Source organism: Homo sapiens, chromosome 3, assembly GCF_000001405.40.
Source record: "Homo sapiens chromosome 3, GRCh38.p14 Primary Assembly".
In the NCBI taxonomy this organism is placed as follows: Eukaryota; Metazoa; Chordata; class Mammalia; order Primates; family Hominidae; genus Homo; species Homo sapiens.
In genome coordinates, this window is record NC_000003.12 from 129,325,918 (window position 1) to 129,348,041 (window position 22,124).

The 22,124-nt window shown below is 54.2% G+C and overlaps 2 pseudogenes, besides 3 other annotated features; both read left to right on the plus strand.

The window, feature by feature from the left end:
* Positions 2,787-2,846: an enhancer, noted in NCBI's record as "active region_20510". NCBI's record gives its function as "activates an Ori minimal core promoter by ATAC-STARR-seq in GM12878 lymphoblastoid cells {active_cell/tissue: GM12878}" and the evidence as "EXISTENCE:reporter gene assay evidence [ECO:0000049][PMID:35858748]".
* On the plus strand, positions 8,613-9,388 carry MARK2P3 (MARK2 pseudogene 3; annotated as a pseudogene).
* Positions 18,481-19,308: an enhancer, noted in NCBI's record as "H3K27ac-H3K4me1 hESC enhancer chr3:129063241-129064068 (GRCh37/hg19 assembly coordinates)". NCBI's record gives its function as "activates a minimal SCP1, AML or CMV promoter by ChIP-STARR-seq in naive H9 embryonic stem cells {active_cell/tissue: H9 hESC(naive)}" and the evidence as "EXISTENCE:reporter gene assay evidence [ECO:0000049][PMID:30033119]".
* MARK2P19 (MARK2 pseudogene 19) lies at positions 19,493-20,212 on the plus strand (annotated as a pseudogene).
* Positions 21,625-22,124: an enhancer, noted in NCBI's record as "H3K4me1 hESC enhancer chr3:129066385-129066884 (GRCh37/hg19 assembly coordinates)". NCBI's record gives its function as "activates a minimal SCP1, AML or CMV promoter by ChIP-STARR-seq in naive H9 embryonic stem cells {active_cell/tissue: H9 hESC(naive)}" and the evidence as "EXISTENCE:reporter gene assay evidence [ECO:0000049][PMID:30033119]".

Below are 22,124 nucleotides of genomic sequence, written 5' to 3' on the forward strand. Positions count from 1 at the left end.
GAGGGATGGACATAGACTCCAAGAAAGTGATGATTCTGGAAAAGGAACGCGTTGTTAAAGTTTGTTGATCAAACCCAGACACAAGGTCTGTCAGAATCTACCACAGCATTCCCTATCAGCCCCTCCCACTGGGGCCAACACTGAAGAAATAAGGGGTGTCCCGTTAGTCAGGGCTGGGGCTACCTAGAGACATGTCCCTGCAGCTTCCTACATCAGATCTGCCCATGTCCTTGTGAAAAATGCAGATGCTTGGCCCCTGGCCCAGGCTGTGTCTGCAAGAAGCCTGGGAAACTCCATTTTATCCACCTGCATACGTGATGGAAACACTGACATGCAAGACCAGCCGCTGAGTCCACACAGGAACAATGAGGCCTGAGAGATGAGGCAACAGGCCCAAGAACACAGCCCAGCCGAGGCCGGACCAGCAGCGCCCTCGCCTCCCTGAGGCTGCCTGCTCCTGTCCCACCTCCCTGGCCTACCACCCAGCTCTGGGGAACGATTCTCCATGACTGGTCCCTTAGCCCTGGGGACCGGACGGCACCACGTCTCACTCTCCCCAGATCCCAGCTTGGGGAGATGTCGGGGACGTGGTGTAGCATGGAGTGTGGGCTGCTGGGCAGGCTGACTTCAGGGATCCTTCCCACGCAGCCTCCCACTTCAGCCTGCATTTACAAACGAGCCCACTGTTCCCCTGCACAAGAGCAATCTGCCGCCATGCTTCCATCTCCCCAGCATCTGCCGGTGCCGGGCCACGCCGTAATTTATTTCCTCGCCTGGTTACTCTAGGTGTCACATGTCAAATTGACCACAAATCCAGGACAATCCAGCTCCAACCTGCCTTGGTGTCTGGGATTTCTGTTATCATTCGGCTCAGGTGCAGAGCTGCCTGGAAGCTTGGGGGGCCTGACATGGCAGGGGACGGGGCTGTCAGAAGGGGACAGGGAACCAGCATCCCCTCAACATCCAACATGCGCCAGGCCCAGAGAGGGGCCCTGAGCGGATCAATCTGCCGAGCTGGGCATGGGATCCCCTCCAGCTCTGTTTCCCAGGGCAGGAGGCTGAGGCTCAGGTGGGTAACGTTCCCTGGCTAAGGCCACAGGCAGGAAGTGACAAGGCCAGGACTGGAATCCAGGTCTCTGACTCTCCGGCTCGTGGTCATAGTTTTACAAAACACCAGAAACTGCAGAGCTGGTCCAGAAAGCTCTGCCTCCAGGAGGGCGACTCAGCTCTCAAAGGCATCAGGACGTGAGGACGTCTGCCTGGAGTCACCGTGAGCTGAGTTCTGGAGAAGGTTGTGATGGAGGAACCACCACGTCCCCATCATCCCCTACGGCCCAGAGCTGGACTTTAATGGCGTAATTGTGGGCGGATCACGAGGTTAGGAGATCGAGACCATCCTGGCCAACATGGTGAAACCCCATCTCTACTAAAAATACAAAAATTAGCTGAACGTGGTGGGTGCCTGTAATCTCAGTACTCAGGAGACTGAGGCAGGAGAATTGCTTGAACCCGGGAGGCAGAGGTTGCAGTGAGCCGAGATTGCGCCACTGCACTCCAGCCTGGTGACAGAGTGAGACTCCATCTCAAAAAAAAAAAAAAAAAAAAAAAAACCAGAAGATGGTAAACTCCCCAACAAAGGACTTATAATTACAAAGGGGTGAGAAGGTGACTTCCCCAGATCAGAAGCAAGTGGAAGAATGGAGTCTCACTTCGGTGATATTCCTGCCAAAGACGCAGTGCTCAGAGCCTGGCCATGAGGGAACAGCAGATAAACCCAAAATGAGAGCTGCTCTACAGATAACCAGACTGTCCTCTTCACAAGTGTCACGGTGTCCAAAGTCAAAGCCCAGGAGGCTGTCCCGGGCTGACAGAGACTAAGAGAAACAGGACACATGCGGCAGGTGACTCAGGGCTGGGGTTTTTCTTTTTGCTGAAAGGGATAAAACTGGGACAAATGGCTGGGCACGGTGGCTCATGCCTGTAATCCCAGCACTTTGGGAGGCTGAGGTGGGCAGATCATGAGGTCAAGAGATCGAGACCATCCTGGCCAACATGGTGAAACCCCATGTGTACTAAAAATACAAAAAGTAGTTGGGCGTGGTGGTGCACACCTGTAGTCCTAGCTACTCGGGAGGCTGAGGCAGGAAATTTACTTGAACCCTGGAGGCAGAGGTTGAAGTGAGCCGAGACTGCACCACTGCACTCCAGCCTAGTGACAGAGGGAGACTGTCTAAAAAAAAAAAAAAGGGCTGGGCCAGATGTGGTGGCTCATGCCTTTAATCCCAGCACTTTGGGAGGCCCAGGCGGGCAGATCACGAGGTCAGGAGATTGAGACCATCCTGACTAACACAGTGAAACCCCGTCTTTACTAAAAATACAAAAAAAAATTAGCTGTGTATGGTGGCGCGCGCCTGTAGTCCCAGCTACTCGGGAGGCTGAGGGCAGAAGAATCGCTTGAACCCGGGAGGTGGAGGTTGCAGTGAGCCAAGATTGTGCCACTGCACTCCAGCCTGGGCGACAGAGTAAGACTCTGTCTCAATTTAAAAAAAAAAAAAAACCGAGACAAATGAGCAAACTCGAATGAGGTCTGAAGATGGTCGGCATCAGTGTTCGTTTCCTAGCACCATAACTGCACGGTGGCCATGCAGGACAACGTCACTAATGGTCGTAAAGCACTTGAAAATCATCAGGGTGATGGGACATGAGGCTGGCAACCGGCTTTCAGGTGAGTGAGGGAAACCTCTTTTTGGACTGCGCTGGCAGATTTTCTACAGGCCTGAAGTTTCTGCAAAAGGAGACTCAAACATGAAAATGAAACTTTAAAAAAAGGCATCGTGCTCTTTAAAAATCACATAGCAAAACTAGAGGCAAGCAGCACAGTCAGACCTGGGGCCTGCACCAGCGCCGGCCAAGGACCGGTGTAGCTCTGCTCCTGCCCTGTCCCACAGGTGGCAGCACTCGCCGTGCAGCCAGTGAACCCTGGACTGGAGGCTTATGCATCTCAGGAACTGAACTGCTCAATTTCTTTTCTTTTCTTTTCTTTTTCTTTTTTCGAGACAACGGAGTCTTGTTCTGTCGCCCAGGCTGGAGTGCAGTGCTATGATCTCGGCTCACTGCAAGCTCCGCCTTCAGGGTTCACGCCATTCTCCTGCCTCAGCCTCCTGAGTAGCTGGGACTACAGGTGCCTGCCACCATGCCCGGCAATTTTTTTTTTTTTGTATTTTTAGTAGAGACGGGGTTTCACTGTGTCAGCCAGGATGGTCTTGATCTGACCTCGTGATCCGCCTGCCTCAGCCTCCCAAAGAGTTGGGATTACAGGCATGAGCCACTGCACCCGGCCAAACTGCTCATTTTCTAACTACACGTAAATAGCCCTGGGGCCCGTGGCTCCCACATGAGAGTGCAGATCCACATGGATCTGAGTTCAGACTCCAGCTCTGCCCTCCCCGAGCTCAGACAAGCGGCTTGGCCTCTTCAGGTCTCAGCCTCTACGACTACTCAATGGAGAGCACAGTGGTGTGCAAGCTCACGTGGCTGCTGGGAGGATAACACAGGTCAAGAAGTTTAAGGCATCCATCTCACAATGGGTCTGTCTACACCACTGTGGGCGACTTAGCCTGTTACACCTGAGACCGGCGGGCACAGCTGGCCCATGCCCCAGCAGAAACCTGGCTGCCCTTTAACTGGTCCCCCAGTTACGAGGACAGAACATGAAGGTTCTGCTCCAAGTCCTGAAAGTACAGAGGGAGGGGCCGGGTGCGGTGGCTCACGCCTATTATCCCAGCATTTTTGGAGGCCGAGGCAGGCGGATCACGAGGTCAGATCCAGACCATCCTGGCTAACACAATGAAACCCCGTCTGTACTAAAAATACAAAAAATTAGCCAGGCATGGTGGCATGCGCCTGTAATCCTAGCTACTCAGGAGGCTGAGGCAGGAGTATCGCTTGAACCCAGGAGGCGGAGGTTGTAGTGAGCCGAGATCGTGCCATTGCACTCCAGTCTGGGCAACAGAGAGAGACTCCATCTCAAAAAAAAAAAAAGAAAAGAAAGTACAGAGGGAGAGGGCCGACTTCTCACCCAGCACCCCGCACTCACTAGATGGACTTTGCCTCCAAGATCAGGTATCTGCCTATGAGAGAGTTGTGTCTCACCAGATTCCTTCCCCTGGAGGTCAACACCCAAAAGTCAAACCAAAATCTTTTGTGTATCATTCCCAAGAGGTGAAACATAATCAAAGGCTCTGAAGTTTGCTGTGGCAAAGGCAGGAAAGATCTGGTGCTTTGAGAAAGACCATCTTTAAATACTATGATGGCAAACACAGCACACTCAGAGCCCAGAGGCACCATCTCTGTATGCCGTTAAAATACAAAAAGAACAAATCAGATTTTACACATTTATTTCTGATTTCACAGCTCCCTTCCAAGGCTTCATAGCCTCAAGTGTAACCCTCGTGCTCCCCAGCAGCCTCTCCCATTGGGTCCTACCTGGAGTGGAGTCCCCTACCTCCCGTCTTCATCCTCACTGCTGCGTGCACCACATGGTGTCCAGGGGCCACAAACATCAGCAAGAAGGGTATTCCAGAGAGTGACTCACCCATCCCTCCTACTCCATTGAGGTCACATTAGATGACACAAGATCATGCTTCTCTGTCCTCTGGGCTCTCTTACCCTCCCTGGGCTCTATGGAGTTCGAGACCATCAATGAGGCGTTGCTGACAATTGTAAACCATCAAGTGAGAAGGTCTCCTTTCCTCCTCTCACTTCCCCATTTTTGCTGCAATGTTACAGCTCTCGCTACAGACTTACCTACCTGGAATTCTAACCGTGATGGAAACATTGTGAGGTAGATGAGCTCATTCAACAGACCTGGGCTGGGCTCAGAACAGCTACCCAAGTGTTCTGTGCAGAGGGAAATGCTCTCTGTGCTGTTGAGTGCTATGGTCAGTGGCAAATAACTCCTAGGGACACATGAAATGTGGCTGTTGAACACAGTGTTTTCTTGCACTCTAATTAATTGAATGGATTAATTAAGTTAGTAATAAGGAGCACCTCCCGGTAGTGACTGCCACACAGAAGAGCGCAGCTTCAGAGATATAAAGATGAAGAAGACATGATTCTTCTACCCTGGTGTTTCCTTGCAGAGTAGGTGTCTGCTCTGATCCAATCATCCATTTATGGGAGCTTCCTGGGCACAGGTACAGGGGCCAGGCCCTCTGTGAGGCCTGGGGATGCTGCAACGGGGAGGACAGCATCCAGGTCGAGGGTTCCCAGCAGGGGCTGCACTTGTACACAGAGGTGAAAAGCACGGACCAGCAAACCCTGTCCAGACAGGATCAGAGCAGCAGGGACAGAGGGGATGGGGACAACTTACTGTCTTCAGGAGCCCACGCTCATCTCCTCTGACCCTGGATCAGAGCCCGAGAAAGCACCTGGATTAGTGTGGGGCCCAACAGGCTAGACAGGGTGAGGATGAAACCCTTCCATGCCTGAGCTAGATCTCAGCCCAGCGATGTGCTTATCAGAACCTCTGGGAGGACTAAGTTGGGCTGCCCAGGGCTGAGCTCTGGGATGACAAGGAATGAGGAGGCCTCAGTTCTTGCCCTGGCAGTGACCAGCCATGGCTAGGATTCACTCTTGCTTAGATGGAGCACAGAAATCACTGTGCAAATGGCTGTGGCTGGATTCAGGTGATGATGGCGTGCTGACTCTTCTGAACTTTAAAACCCTGGAATCCATCCTCCCCCTCCCATCCACACATGGCCTGGACACTCTTGTGACTTCCCTCAGCCCCTCTGTACTCCTCCCTCTTCAGGTCCAGCCCAGGGCCCTGAGCCCTGCCTTCTCCCATGGAGTCCATGGGTGGCTGTCTCGGAACTCCTAGAGCTCTTGGTCTTGGTGTCACTCATTTGAACATTTAATCCCTCACAGCAGATGTCTCTTCAGGCACCACTGGGAAACTGTTCTAGACAGTGAAGGTTCTTGGAGAATCTTAGTATGAGAAACATGTTCCTTCTGGGGAAAGTGATATTTTTTCTAAATTGAGCAGTCTCACTTATTTTTGTTTTGTGGAGAAAAATTTTGACACCCACAGAGCAAGCAGATTCTATTAAAACAAACTGTGTCACACAGTATTCATCATCAAAGGGATTCTGAAGCCATGATTTTGCCTCATGTGATATTTTATGCTTACTTCAACAAACACCTTGACTTGTTTCCTTGAAAAGGAGTTCAGAAGCAACAAGAACCTATTTCAATTAGTGGGTCCTACCAGGCCGAGTGGGGATCGCCCTGCAACCCCCGTGGCTGAGTTTATCTTTCTCCACCTTGCAATGCACACCCTACTGTGTCCTCCTCCTAGGAAGGAAGCCACGTCTCCACCCTGAGGCTGGGTCCCTGAAGAAGCCCCTTGTTTCTCCTTCATTCTATAGTGTGTGTTGCTCCACCACCCAGAAGCCATGATTGGTGTAAGTAACGGGAGAGATTATGCACATGGAAATGGAATTACCTATTTTCGGCCACATTATCTGAAGTGGAATAGTAGACCTCAGTTGAGAAAGCTGGAGGGAAATTGCCCCAGTTTGTCTAGAGTCTCCTCGTTTCTCGGAGTCCTCCCAGAACTAAGTGAGGGGCTTACTGTAGAAAGAGGCCCAGCCTGGCAGTCCTTGTGTTTACGATGGGGAGGGTTAATTCTGAGGCTTCCTGTAATAAAAAGGCTTGGGGAATGTGGAGACGTATAAGGATGAAGCATCAATGGGGAGACTCCTCCTCCTTGAAATCCTAAAGTGTTTGAGGAGCAAGGACTCTGGGGTTCCTGCAGTTTCTGTCTTGGCAAGTGTTCCACACAGAGGGGCTCAGGAACAGGATTAAAATCCCAATTGATGCCAAACTCATAGTAGAAGCTTAGAGTCTCTCCCAGGAAGTAGATAGAGGTGGGAAGAAAGTGCATGGGATTCGGAATCAAAGGGTTAATCTAAACCTGTCACCTAATGGTAGTATATTTTATTCTATAGATCAAATAATTATTTGAATTTTATAACAATACTCAAGACATGCAATTCTTGTTTAATGTATTAAAAACATTTAAATGTTTGGGAGATCGAGCTGGGAGGATCGCTTGAGCCCAGGAGTTTGAGACCGGCCTGGGCAACATAGCAAGATTCTTGTCTCTTTAAAAAAAAAAAAAAAAAAGCAGGCCGGGTGTGGTGGCTCACGCCTGTAATCCCAGCACTTTGGGAGGCCGAGGTGGGCAGATCACGAGGTCAGGAGATCGAGACCATCCTGGCTAACATCATGAAACCCTGTCTGTACTAAAAATACAAAAAATTAGCCGGGCATGGTGGTGGGCTCCTGTAGTCCCAGCTACTCAGGAGGCTGAGGCAGGAGAATGGCGCGAACCCAGGAGGCGGAGCTTGCAGTGAGTGGAGATTGCTCCACTGCACTCCAACCTGGACTGCCTCAGTGAAGGTGGCAGAAGTCATGAAATACACAGCCATTGAAAATCTCTGGGATGATGAGGTCCAGAGATCTCATTTGAGATCAGGAGTTCGAGACCAGCCTGGCCAACATGGTGAAACCCCATCTCTACTAAAAATATAAAAATTAGCTGAACGTGGTGGTGGGTGCCTGTAATCTCAGTACTCAGGAGACTGAGGCAGGAGAATTGCTTGAAACCGGGAGACAGAGGTTGCAGTGAGCCAAGGTCGTGCCGTTGCATTCCAGCCTGGGTGTCAAGAGCAAAATTCCGTCTTAAATAAATAAATAAATAAATAAAAACTAAAATAAAATCTCTGGGATGATTCCAAGGGCACACAGCAAATGAAGAAGCGTTTATTAAGAAAACCTACTAACACCTGGGAAGAACACCAAGGGCCTGCAGTGTGTGAAATAAGATGCCCGTCCTCCCTGACTCCCCACCCCAGTGAGGGGGGCTCCACTCCAGACTGCTTTCTCCAAGATCACAGGACTCCCTCACCCCCTAGCTCCTGCCTGGGAGATTTGCTTGCTAAGAGGGGCAGAATGTTATCTTTTCTTATCATGCCACCAGCTACCGCTTGCTGAGACCGCTTGCTCAGCCCAGGAAAGTGGGTTGAGAGGTGGAGGCTCTTGTCTTCCACACAGGCCCCACTCATGGGATGGAGGCTCTGCCTTGAGTGCAGCACCCATGAGAATACTGGGGCCCGGCCGCCCTTCCCTGGCTCATGGGGTGGGGTTCCCTGCTAAGAGAGGACAGCCGATGAACACTGGGGCTACTGCCCCATTCACCAAGCACCCAGCTCCTGATGTGCAGGTGTCACCAGAGAGAGATGCACCACTGTGTCCAGCACCATAGCTCTGGCTCAGAGAGTTTGCCTGGGAAAGCAGCAGGCAGAAAACAGAAGGTGTGAGTAGCTTTTGAAGAAACTGACTTCATGTGCAATGGAGCTCGGAGAAGTCCAAGCCTAAGCGCACTCTCCAGAACAGTGGAGGTTGTGCTGAAAGGCAACTGGGAGGCGACGGAGAGTCCAGGAGGTGTGGGCTACACTGGAGGCCGGCAAGTCTGCAAGAGAGAAATGGAAAAAGAGACAGCTGGGAAGAGCTCTCCTGGGGTTAGAACAAACCTTAATATCTTTTTTGACAAAGAACGTAACATCAAAATAGCCGACTTTGGGTTTAGTTCAACATTTGCAAAGAGAGACTGAGAACGTTTAATGGGACTCGCCCTTACGCAGGCCCAGAACTCTTCCTGGGCCATGGATGGGTACCAATGACCTGCCATCAATGTTTGGAGCCTTGGCATCATCGTATGCAAAATGGTGGCTGGGGACCTGCCATTTTATGAGCAGAACTGTAAGGATATACAGAAAAAAAAAAAAACAAAACTTAAAATAGTACTGCTACTTTTTTTTTTATTTTAATGGAAAAAAATATTTAAAAATTCTTCACACTCAACCCCAGGGAGCAGCTTCCACTGGACCAGCTGTTGAGGGACTCCTGAGTCAATAGCGACCAGAAGACATGGTTCAAGCCATACAGAGAGCCACTCCTGGACCTCCCAGGCCCCACAACAACCCAGCTCATAGTGGCCAGGGGATTCTAGGCAGAGCATATCGAGGAAGCGATATTAAAAAAAAAAAAAAGAAGTCATCCCATGGCCACCTACCTAATCAGGGAGTTCAGAAAAGTGCAGAGGAGAAAGGGTTCCAACATCGGAGCACAATCCCTCCTTCCTGGGGGCCCCACCTGTCCTTCCCCATCTGCCACATTTAAGTCAACCTTCCCTGTCCAACCGAGAGGAGGACTCAAAACCAGCCGACCTTTCCCACTTTCTAATTCACAGAAGCACGAACAGGAGCATCCCTGGGAGTCAGGGCAAACCCTACCTGGCCTGGAGATGAAGCCAGCCATTCCCAGCAAAGCCCCCAGCATAAGCCTGTGACTTCACCCTCCCCAGAGCACCAGCAGCTATGGGGGAACCCCCAAGGAGACTTGTCTCAGGGAACCCACTGGGAAGTTGGCTCACTCCATGTGGAAGACCCAGAAGAGGTGACTTGGTCGGAGGGAACCCCCGGGAAGCCAGATGGTGTAACCTCAATCTCTGTGACCAAAAGGAGCCACGGATGCCATTGGCAAAAGATGTTTCAGTTTCATGCTGCAATTATGTTGTTTCTGACTAGCACAAAAAAGTCAAAGGGAGAAATAAGGCAGCACCAGTGAACCCAATGGACAGCTGGGCCGAGACAAAAACCAAGTGGGTGGGGCAGTCGAGCTACACTTCCTGTGTTTTATTACATTTATTATGTTCTTCTTAATATTATTTTAATTGGCAAATCATGCTTGCATTCATTTATGAGATACAGTGTGAGGATTAGATGGATGTGTGCACATTGGAATGACAAAATCACACTACTTAGCATCTCCATCACCTCAGAAAGACAAATTCCGTGTGATGTCCCTGAAGTGTTCATCTAAAAAAGCTGACCTCATAGAAGTAGCGAGTAGATTGATGGTGAACAGGGGCTGAGGAGCAGATGTGTAGAGGGGTGGCAGAGGGAAGAAATGGGGGGGTTGTTGGTCAAAGGACCAAAGTCTCAGTTGGAAAGGATGAAGAGGTTTTGACATCTAGTGCACCGTAGGGTAACCAGAGTCAATGGGAATGTATTGCCTATGGCAAAACACCTGAGAGAGTCCATGTCGAATCCTGGCATTCAGAATGGAGAAAACAAAGGCCCTGAGGTTCAAGAACATTAAAAACCTTGGGACAAATTGACCATGTGTAGACTCCAACAGCTGTGGGTGAGAACCGGGCAAGATGACGACGCTGCCATGTGCCCAATACACCTGGCCCAGAGGCATTCAGCAGAGGACGGAGGTGTCCAAGCTGCTACCAGGGTCAATGAACAGGATTCAAAAGTCAAGAGGGCATCTGGCAGCCCTGTAGCCTTCAAAGGCCTATCCAAAGCTACAAGTGAGCTGAAGGACAGCCTGGAGCCTCCTGAAGAACAGAGGGCCCCTCCACCCCACCTGGCCCAGGGCACCATCTCTTCCTCCTGTCTGTCCCCTGCTTCCTCTGTGCTGCCGCCTCCCCCTTCCTCCCCACTCAGCTCCCTGCAGTCCTCTCTCCACCCTTCCAAGGTAAACACAGCTTGCTGCTCTCCTGAGGCCCTGCTAAGACTGTGGTTTCTGGTCCCCGCTGAACTCTGGGACTTGATTTCCCTGGCCTTTTCCCCCACCTCCTTTCTGTTTGTCCCAGCCCCACCTCCAACTCCCTCCTCCCCAATTCCCCCTCTGCCATTCCTAATCCCCTCATCCTGATTCCTTTTTGCTACATTTTCTCTAGCTAAATCATCTTTTATTCACTTGCTAATAATCTATCCCTCGGTCTCCTGGATGTCTGTCTTGTGCAACATAGAATTATGAAAATCTAGAAATTGGAATCTAACTCCTGGCCCTAGATAGGACTCAGGTTTTGTGAAAGGGAGAAAACAGCAACAACAACAACAAAAACCAAAAGCAAGCCCCACCAAATCAACACCTAGTCTAGAGCCTGATATAAGTGCCACTCAAAATGTGTTTCCTTCCTTTATTCTTTTTTTTTTTTTTTTTGAGACAGTGTCTTGCTCTATCACACAGGCTGGAGTGCAGTGCCGCAACCTTGGCTCACTGCAACCTCTGCCTCCCGAGTTCAAGAAATTCTCCCTCAGCCTCCCAGTAGCTGGAATTACAGGTGCCCACCACCATGCCTGGCTAATTTTGTTTTTTTGAATTTTTGGTAGAGATGGGGTTTCACCATGTTGGCCAGGCTGGTCTCGAACTTCCAACCTCAAGAGAGCTGCCCGCATCAGCCTCCCAAAGTGCTGGGATTACAGGCGTGAGCCATTGTGCCTGGTCTCCTTCCTTTATTCAATAACCAGAGAATTCTTCCTGAAAAAGGTGGCCCCTGAGACCATTTGGAAGCATCACAGGGTGGAGGGGCAAGGGTCCTGCGAGCTGGTCTTGCCATCCCTTGTCCCCCAGTTTACATGAAGCCGAGCTCCAGAGAAGAGACAGGGCCCGTGGGGCATTTGGATTACACTCCAAGTCTAATTCCCAGTCCAACAATCCTTCCCGCAGAGGCTTCCTTCATCTGTCCACTTGGCCAAGGAAGGAGCAGGTCAGCTCATGCCCCCTGCCTGGATGCAGACAACAACCATCAGAAGGCCATCCATGTAGCCGGGGCCCCAGAACAATGTCTGCTTGGAAAGGGCCCAAGGAGCTGGAGCCCTTTAGCCTCAAGAAGAGCATGAGGGACCCAGCACCCTTCTGAAACCTAAACCACATTCTGGCCTGAGCCATTTTGCACTGTCTGTGCCCTAGAAAGTTGTGAAGGCCTGTAAGTGGGTCTTCCTGTTTCCTTGTCTTCTGAGGCCCAGGCCTTTCTCAGAGCCTCCGTGGGTCCCACCCCTGCACCCATCACACGGTGTCTGGGCCCTGCCTGCCTGGCTCACACCCCCCACCCCCACTCACTGTCCTATTTCCATCCCTGTGGATGGACATAGGGGACACCGTGCTAGGCACTGCTGTTCTCTCTCTTAGAAGACTTTCATAGGCCCTGCCCGTCCCTTTTGCCAATTGATATCATTTGGCTGTGTCCCCACCCAAATCTCAACTTGGATTGTATCTCCCAGAATTCCCACATGTTGTGGGAGGGACTCAGGGGGAGGTAATTGAATCATGGGGCCAGTCTTCCCTGTGCTATTCTCATGATAGTCTCATGAGATCTGATGGGTTTATCAGGGGTTTCCGCTTTTGCTTCTTTCTCATTTTCTCCTATTGCTGCCACGTAAGAAGTACCTTTTACCTCCTGCCATGATTCTGAGGCCTCCCCAGCCATGTGGAATTATAAGTCCAATTAAACCTCTTTTTCTTCCCAGTCTCAGATATATTTTTAACAGCTGCGTGAAACAGACTAATACACCAATCAAGTGAATGTCACCTCCTCAGAGAAACCCTCCCTGAGCACCCCATCTGCAGTAGGGTCACCTCCATCTTCCACCTTCACTTTTCCTGGTGTTTCCTTCTTTTTTTATTTTATTTTATTTTATTTTATTTTTTTATTGATCATTCTTGGGTGTTTCTCGCAGAGGGGGATTTGGCAGGGTCATAGGACAATAGTGGAGGGAAGGTCAGCAGATAAACAAGTGAACAAAGGTCTCTGGTTTTCCTAGGCAGAGGACCCTGCGGCCTTCCACAGTGTTTGTGTCCCTGGGTACTTGAGATTAGGGAGTGGTGATGACTCTTAACGAGCATGCTGCCTTCAAGCATCTGTTTAACAAAGCACATCTTGCACCGCCCTTAATCCATTTAACCCTGAGTGGACACAGCACATGTTTCAGAGAGCACGGGGTTGGGGGTAAGGTCACAGATCAACAGGATAATAATTTTTCTTAGTACAGAACAAAATGAAAAGTCTCCCATGTCTACCTCTTTCTACACAGACACGGCAAACATCCGATTTCTCAATCTTTTCCCCACCTTTCCCCCCTTTCTATTCCACAAAACCGCCATTGTCATCATGGCCCGTTCTCAATGAGCTGTTGGGTACACCTCCCAGACGGGGTGGTGGCCGGGCAGAGGGGCTCCTCACTTCCCAGTAGGGGCGGCCGGGCAGAGGCGCCCCTCACCTCCCGGGCGGGGCGGCTGGCTGGGCGGGGGGCTGACCCCTCCCACCTCCCTCCCGGACGGGGCGGCTGGCCGGGCGGGGGGCTGACCCCCCCACCTCCCTCCCGGACGGGGCGGCTGGCCGGGCGGGGGGCTGATCCCCCCACCTCCCTCCCGGACGGGGCGGCTGGCCGGGTGGGGGGCTGACCCCCCCACCTCCCTCCCGGACGGGCGGCTGGCCGGGCAGAGGGGCTCCTCACTTCCCAGTAGGGACGGCCGGGCAGAGGCACCCCTCACCTCCCGGACGGGGTGGCTGGCCGGGCGGGGGGCTGACCCCCCCACCTCCGTCCCGGACGGGGCGGCTGGCCAGGCAGAGGGGCTCCTCACTTCCCAGTAGGGGCGGTCGGGCAGAGGCGCCCCTCACGTCCCGGACGGGGCGGCTGGCCGGGCGGGGGGCTGACCCCCCCACCTCCCTCCCGGACGGGGCGGCTGGCCGGGCGGGGGGCTGATCCCCCCACCTCCCTCCCGGACGGGGCGGCTGGCCGGGTGGGGGGCTGACCCCCCCACCTCCCTCCCGGACGGGCGGCTGGCCGGGCAGAGGGGCTCCTCACTTCCCAGTAGGGACGGCCGGGCAGAGGCACCCCTCACCTCCCGGACAGGGTGGCTGGCCGGGCGGGGGGCTGACCCCCCCCACCTCCGTCCCGGACGGGGCGGCTGGCCAGGCAGAGGGGCTCCTCACTTCCCAGTAGGGGCGGTCGGGCAGAGGCGCCCCTCACCTCCCGGACAGGGCGGCTGGCCGGGCGGGGGGCTGTTCCCCCCACCTCCCTCCCGGACGGGGCGGCTGGCAGGGCGGGGGGCTGACCCCCTCCACCTCCCTCCCGGATGGGGCGGCTGGCCTGGCGGGGGCTGACCCCCACCTCCCTCCCGGACGGGTGGCTGCTGGGCGGAGACGCTCCTCACTTCCCAGACGGGGTGGCTGCCGGGCGGAGGGGCTCCTCACTTCTCAGATGGGGCGGCTGCCGGGCAGAGGGGCTCCTCACTTCTCAGACGGGGCCGCCGGGCAGAGACGCTCCTCACCTCCCAGACGGGGTCGCGGCCGGGTAGAGGCACTCCTCACATCCCAGACGGGGCGGCGGGGCAGAGGCGCTCCCCACATCTCAGAGATGGGCGGCTGGGCAGAGAGGCTCCTCACTTTCTAGATGTGATGGCGGCTGGGAAGAGGCGCTCCTCACTGCCTAGATGGGATGGCGGCCGGGCAGAGACGCTCCTCACTTTCCAGACTGGGCAGCCAGGGAGAGGGGCTCCTCACATCCCAGACGATGGGCGGCCAGGTAGAGACGCTCCTCACTTCCCAGACGGGGTGGCGGCCGGGCAGAGGCTGCAATCTCGGCACTTTGGGAGGCCAAGGCAGGTAGCTGGGAGGTGGAGGTTGTAGCGAGCTGAGATCACGCCACTGCACTCCAGCCTGGGCACCATTGAGCACTGAGTGAACCAGACTCCGTCTGCAATCCCGGCACCTCAGGAGGCCGAGGCTGGCGGATCACTCGCGGTTAGGAGCTGGAGACCAGCCCGGCCAACACAGCGAAACCCCGTCTCCACCAAAAAAATACGAAAACCAGTCAGGCATGGCGGCGCGCGCCTGCAATTGCAGGCACTCTGCAGGCTGAGGCAGGAGAATCAGGCAGGGAGGTTGCAGTGAGCCGAGATGGCAGCAGTACAGTCCAGCTTCTGCTCGGCATCAGAGGGAGACCGTGGAAAGAGAGGGAGAGGGAGACCGTGGGAGAGGGAGACCGTGGGAGAGGGAGAGGGAGAGGGAGAGGGAGAGGGAGAGGGCTGGTGTTTCCTTCTTAGCCCCTATCTCCATGGGGAGTTTTCACTCTGATAGACTAGTCTCCTTCACCCACCCAGGGCCAACGTGTCTGTCTTCTCTGTCCCTGCACACGGGAGATGGTCAATGTTCTTTTGTTGGCATCAGTAAAACAGGAAGACCCCTGAGGTGCAAGGATTGGGAGCCCTTCACCCCAGGTGAGGAAAGAGCCTTGAGGCAGGTAGACGACCTGAGTTAGTGCCCTCTCCCTACCCCGAGGGGTCAGCCCTGGGCAGGACAGGCCACGGCCCCTTGGGGGCACCTGTCACCTGTGCCCTTGATGGGTGGCCTGCAGGGGACGTGGCCGCATTTGGTCAGCGGTGGTCCTGGGGCAGCTGCGTTCAGGTGGGCAGCACTTTAGGAAGGACAAACTCCAAAACCCAGGCTCCAAAGGACCCATGAGAAGGTCGGGAGGCTCAAAGGAGTGTCCTGGTGGTGGGGCCAGCGCTTTGAGGCCCCTGGGTACCCAGCAGAGAGGGCCTGCATGAGGCATCTGGATACACTGAGCACCACTGGAAAATGAGAGGCCCGCAGAGGTCACCTGTCCCTGTGGGGGCAGCACTGCCTGAAGGGAGGTGGCCACAGCAGCCCACAGGGGCCCAGGGCTGACGAGCTCTGCCTTGGGTGCCAAGGCTGGGCAGGGCCTGTGCCCTTGGGAGTCCTGTTTGAGACCCACCTCCACCACATGGCCCTGCCCTCGTCTTATTTGCCTGGACAGCAAGGCCTGCAGAAGCTTATTTGCTCATCCAATTTAGGGATCCTGAGCTCCCTACTGGGCAAGGCTGGTGGGTTCACAGCTGCCCCTGATGGTTTCCTCGGCAACCTCAAATCAGATTCTGCTCCTTAGTTGCCAGCATCTATTACTAAAGAAGGTGGGGGCAGAAAGCATGGGGGTGTCATGGTGACAGAGGTAAGGAGAACACAGAGTTTTCTACTTCTGGTGATGGTAGCGGTGGCCGCCACCTGACCCAGGGCACCATCTCTTCCTCCTGTCTGTCCGCTGCTTCCTCTGCCCTGCTACCTCCCATTTCCTCCCCGCTGAGGTCACTGCAGTCCTCTCTCCACTTTTCCAAGATAGACGCAGCTTGCTGCTCTCCTGAGGCCCCCACTAAGCCTGTGGCTTCTGATCCCTGCTGACCTCTTGGACTTTATTTCCCTGGTCCCCTCCCCCACCTCCTTTCTGTTTGTTCCAGCCCCTTCCCTAACTTCCTCTCCCCCAGCTCTTACTCTGCCATTCCTAATCCCCCCATCCTGATTCCTCTTTTAGGTTTTCTCTGGCTAAATTATCTTTTTTTTTTTTTTTTTTTTTGAGATGGAATCTCATTCTGTCCCCCAGGCTGAAGTGCAGTGGTGCAATATCAGCTCACTGCAAACTCCACCTCCTGGGCTCAAGCCATTCTCTTGCCTCAGCCTCCCAAGTAGCTGGGAATACAGGCATGCACCACCATGCCGGGCTAATTTTTGTATTTTTGGTAGAGACAGGATTTCACCATACGGGCCAGGCTGGACTCAAACTCCTGACCTCAGGTGATTCGCCCGCCTCTGACCTCAGGTGATTTGCCCGCCTCTGCCTCCCAAAGTGTTGGGATTACAGGCGTGAGCCACCATGCCCAGCCAATTATCTTTTATATACTTGCTAATATCTGTCTCCTTTCCCCCCCGACCTTGTTTTGTGCTACACAGAATGATGAAAATCTAGAAACAGGAATCTCACTCCCAGCCTAGCCAGGACTCAGGTTTTGTGAAGCGGGCTGGGGCAGGAGGAAAAGCAAGCCCCACCAAACCAACACCTAGTCTAGAGCCTGACTTAAGTGCCACTCAAAACACGTTTCCTCCCTTTACTTTCCTGTAGCCCGATTCTTCCTGAAAAAGGTGGCCCCTGAGAACCATCTGAAAGTATCATGGGGTGGAGGGGCAAGGGTCCTGAGAGCTAGTCTTGCCATCTCTTGTCCCCAGTTTTCTTGAAGAAGCTGAGCTCCAGAAAAGAGGCAGGGCCCGTGGGGCATTTGGATTACGCTCCAAGTCTAATTCCCAATCCAGCGATCCTGCTCCTAGAGGCTCCCTTCATCTGTCCACTTGGACAAGTGAGGGGCGGGTCGCCCCACAACCCCTGCCTGGCCACAGAAGAAAACCGTCAGAAGGCTGTCTGTGGGGCCCCAGAACCATGTGGAAATGGCCTAAGGAGCTGGAGCCCTTTAGCCTCAAGAAGAGCGTGGGGGACCCAGCACCCTTCTGAAACCTAAACCACATTCTGGCCTAAGCCATTTTGCACTGTCTGTACCCTAGAAGGTTGTGAAGGCCTCTAAGTGGGTCCTCCTGTTTCCCCGTGTTCTGAGGCCCAGGGCTTTCTCAGAGCCTCTGTGGGTCCCACCCCTGCACCCATCACATGGTGTCTGGGTCCCGCCTGCCAGGCTCACATCCCCCCCCCACCACCTTGCTGTCCTATTTCCTTCCCTAGGACAGCCCACTGGGCATTGCCGTTCCCTCTCTTAGAAGACTTTCACAGGCCCTGCCCGTCCCTTTTGTCAGTCTAGTTAATGTCACCTCCTCAGAGAAACCCTCCCTGAGCACCCCATCTGCAGTAGGGTCACCCCCGTCTTCCACCCTCACTTTTCCTGGTGTTTCCTTCCTAGCCCCTGTCCCTATTGGGAATTTTCTGTGCTGATAGACTAGTCTCTCTCGCCCACTGGGGGCCAGCGTGTCTGTCTTGTCTGTCCCAGAACATCAAATGATTATTTGTTGGTATAAATGAAACAGGAAGGTCCCTGAGGTACTGGGATTGGGAGCCCTTCACCCCAGGTGAGAAAGGAGCCTTGAGGAAGGGGAGAGGACCCGAGTTCGTGGCCTCTCCCATTCTGAGGGTCAGCCCCGAGCAGGGCGGGCCGCTGCGTCTTGGAGTTCCTGTTGCCTGTGCCCTTGATGGGTGGCCTGCAGGGGAGGCAGCCGCACTGGGTTGGCTGTGATCCTGGGACAGCCGCAGTCCTGGGGCAGCCGCGTTCGGGCAGGCGGCACTTAGGAAAGACAAACTCTAAAACCCAGGGGTCCAAAGGACCCATGGGAAGGACAGGTGGCTCAGGGGAGTGACCTCGCTGCTTGGCCAGCGCTTTGAGGCCCCGGGGACCCAACGGAGAGGGCCCGGGTGAGGCATCTGGAGGCGCTGAGCGGGACCAGGAGCTGCGGGACCTGCAGAGGGCGCCCGCCCGTGTGGGCGCAGCAGCGCCTGGAGGGAGACGGCCCCGGCCGCCCGCAGGGGTCAGGCTCTGCTGCAGGTGGGGGTGGGGGGTCCCTGTCTCGGCCTCCCAGCCCAGGCTGGGTCTCTTTGCCCAGGTTGGGCGGGGCCGATGGCCGTTGGAAGCCCCGTCTCCACGGAGACCCGAGGCCGCCAGACCGCCTGTCAGGGGCTGCCCTGGAGCCTGGCACCTTACCCTTGCACCCTGTCTGCCCCTCGGGGGCCATGCTGTCCACGCTGACCCTGACTCGAGACATTGGGATGCCTGTCCACGCCTCCACTCCTGGGCCACTTCCCCGTGGGGTGAGCAGAAGGGCAGGGCGGGGTGGGAATCTGTTGTACCCAGGGAAAGGAATTGCCCCCAGGCCCGGAGAGTTTGAAGCCTGGGGTACTGTCACCAACAGCCCAGGACCCTCGCAGCTGGGCCTGCCCTAGAGTCTTCCTGCAGCAGGGCTGTCCTCCGGAGGGGCTGTGAATGTTTCCCGGGGGTGGGGCTGAAGCCAGAGCCCAGAGGTTTGCCCCTGGGGCAGGGATCCTCCAGGTCACTCGCCCCCGCCCCCTACGGGCTGCAGTGAAGGAGGCTCTGAGGGGAGGATGGCCGGCTCCTCCCCTGCAAGGACAGGGGCTCCTGGGAAGGCATTCCTGCTCTGGGGACTGCCTCCCTCCCCCACATCACAGCCAGCCACCACAGAATCTTGGCCAAGCTGACCACTCTTATCTGTGATCTCTGCCAGGGAGGCTGAAAGAACATCCAGCCCTACCCGTGGTCCCTTCCCACCTCAGGCTATATGACTCCCCACCTATTTCTTCACTTCCACTGGAAACACTGGTAAAACAATTCCTCACCCTCGACTCCAGGGAGCGGCCCCCACTAAACCAGCTGATGTGGGACCCCTGGGTCAATTGCTGGCCAGGAGACGCTGCTGACACCAGAGACCCTGGGCACCTGGGCCCCCTACAACCCTGGTCATGGTGGCCATGGGATGCCAGGCAGCACACATCTCGGAATCAGTATTTCCCCCACCCTACAAAAAATAAGTATCTGATTATCCCATGGCCACCTACGTAATCCTGGGGTACAGGAAAAGTGCAGAGGAGGAAGGGCTCCGTCATTTAAGCACAGTTCCTTCCTTCTGGGTGTCCCTCCTGCTCTTCCCCATCCGACAAAGTCCATCTTCCTTGTGGAACCAAAGACAGCTCAAAGGGAGCCGGCTGTTCACACTTTTAAGTTTTGGCTGCCCAAGGAGAGTCAGAAGTCAGGGCAGAAAGCCACAATTCCTGCCCCAGAACTCTCCCTGGGCCAGGTGTATCAGTGCCCTGTGATGGACGTATGGAACCTCCATGTCATTCTCTATTCCATGGTGGCCGGGGCCCTGACCTTCTACTCAGGGAACCTGGTGGACCTGAGGAAAAAAATTATCACAGGACAATACTATTCCCCACCATTTTTTCCCTCTTCAAATTGAAAGATTTATTAAAAAGTACTTAATGCTAAACGTTAGGGAGCGATCCCTACTGGAACAACTGATGAGGGGCCCGTGGGTGAACAGTGGCCAGAGATCTCATTGATATCGTACAAAGAGCCACTCCTGGACCACCCGAACTCCAACAACTCAGCTCACGGTGGCCATGGGATTCAAGGCTGAGAACATCTCAGTGCCAAAAAAAAAAAAAAACATTCAACTATCCCATGGCCACCTACCTCATTTTAGAGCACACAAAACAAAAAGGAAGCACTCTACCATCAGAAAACTGTCTCTTCTTCCTGGAGTTCCCACCTCTCCTTCTCCATCTGCTGAAGTTTCCACCTTCCCTCTCCCACTGGAGCAGGCTCACAGCGAGCCAATTTGTCCCATATTCAATATTCAGCTGTCGGAGAACGGCCAGAAGTCAGGGCAGAAGACCACCATTCCTGCCAGTGCACTTGCCATCCTGTAGAGGAAGCCAGACAGTTTTAGTGAAAACCCCAGCATGACCCTGTGGGCTCCTCCTCTACCCAGAGCACCAGCAGTAGTGGAAGAGACCCAGAAAAAACCCTGGCCCAGCGACAACCACTGCAGGAAGCCAGATTCCTCCAAACTGGGCAGCCAGAGGCTGTGAAGTCAGCCTCATCCACAAGAACCTGGGGCTGCCACAGGGCTGCCAGAATATGCCTTTCATTTCTTCTACAAATGTGTTGCTTGTGCCCAGCACAGAAAACTCTTACAAATAAGATCACCCCAACAAAGTAGTTGAATGGCTGTGGTGAAGACAAAAATCAAGTAGGTAGGGTGGTCAAGCCGCACTTCCTGCATTTTATTTATTATGTTTTTATTAGTATTGTTTTAATTGGCAAATCATGCTCGTATTCATTTATGGGGTAGAATGTGATGATTAGATAGATGTGTGCACCGTGGAATGAGGAAATCATGCTACTTAGCATCTCCACCACCTCAGAAAGACCAGTTCCACATGATGTCACAGAAATGTTGATCAGAAAAAGTTGACCTCACAGAAGTCGTGAGTAGATCGATGGTGACAGGAGCCGGGGAGTGGCACGGGGAGGAAATGGGGGGTTGTCCATCAAAGGACCAAAATCTCAGATGGACAGGAGGAGGAGGTTTTGACATCCCGTGCACAGCAGGGTGACCAGAGTCAATGGGAATGTACTGCATTGCAAAACACCTGAGAGAGTCCATGTCAAATGTCTTTTTGCATTTACATTAGAGAGGACGAAGGCCCTGAGGTCCAAGAACATTGAAACCTGACAGGTCAGTCATGCGTGTACTCCAACAGCTGCAGGTAGGGGCCAGGCAAGATGTCCACACTGCCGTGGCTTCAAAGGCATCCTATCCCAAGGGGTGAACTGAAGGACAGCCTGGAGCTTCCTGGAGACCAGAGGGCCCCTCCACCCTACCTGGAGCAACGCCAGAGCCTGGACTATTTCCTGCAGCACTTCTCCCCTGCCCTGCTCTATTTTATCTTTTTTAATAAAGATGACTCCTGATAAACGACTGTTTCTTCCAAATCTTGTAGTAGCATTGGAAAGGTGGCAGATGGGTCACAGACACTCTGCTGCTTTGCGCCCTCCCTGCACAGAACGGGGGCTGTGCACACTCTAATTTAGGCGGCATGCAGTCATGTGATCCTCTCAGTTACTCAGAAAAACTGAAAGGAAAAGAGACCTCAGAGAAGAATCTGAGTGACCCCACCCGCAGCAAATCTTTAGCAGTGGCTCTGAAGGGCTGAGGCTCTGAGCAGGTGCAGGGGCAGAGTCCTACGCATTGTGCATGGCCTCCCCACACTCACACTGCCCGGTGAGCATTTTCAGAAGGACAAGTGGCCCCTTCAGGTCCCATTTGCCTATGTTAATCATGCTGAGAGGTCCCCAGGAAGGTCCCGAAGTCCTAGGAACCAGGCTGTGCTGGGGTCAGAGTGACGGGGGTGTGGTCCTCAAAGCGCCTTAGGGGGCTACTTGTGCTGCTGGGCTCCTGGCTGTCTAGTGCGGCACTGGCCTTTCTGCTGCGATGGTTTCCCCTTTTGATAACAGCGGCACAAAGCGGTCCCCCTCAGAGGCCTGACAGAGGAGTGAGCCTTCATCCAGGCCCATGTTGAAGGGGTGCTTCTGGGCAAGGCAGGTGTCCTGGGGGTCAGGGGAGGGTTGACGGCAAAACACAGCCCTGAGGGATGGAGGGGGTGATGGGAATGGGAGCTTTCATAAGGCAGGTTCCAGTTTCCCAGGAACCTGGTGTTTCTGTGTCAGGCAGTGAATCTATGGGTGCAGATGCCCCATCAACACCCCTCAGGGAGCTTCCTTGTGGGTTCCTAAGGAGCCTGAGGAAGGTCCAGAAGGCCTCACCCTCATGCATGGCCAGGGCTCTGTGTGCACAGCCTTGAACATGCGATGACCCTGCCCATTACTGATGGTGGCCA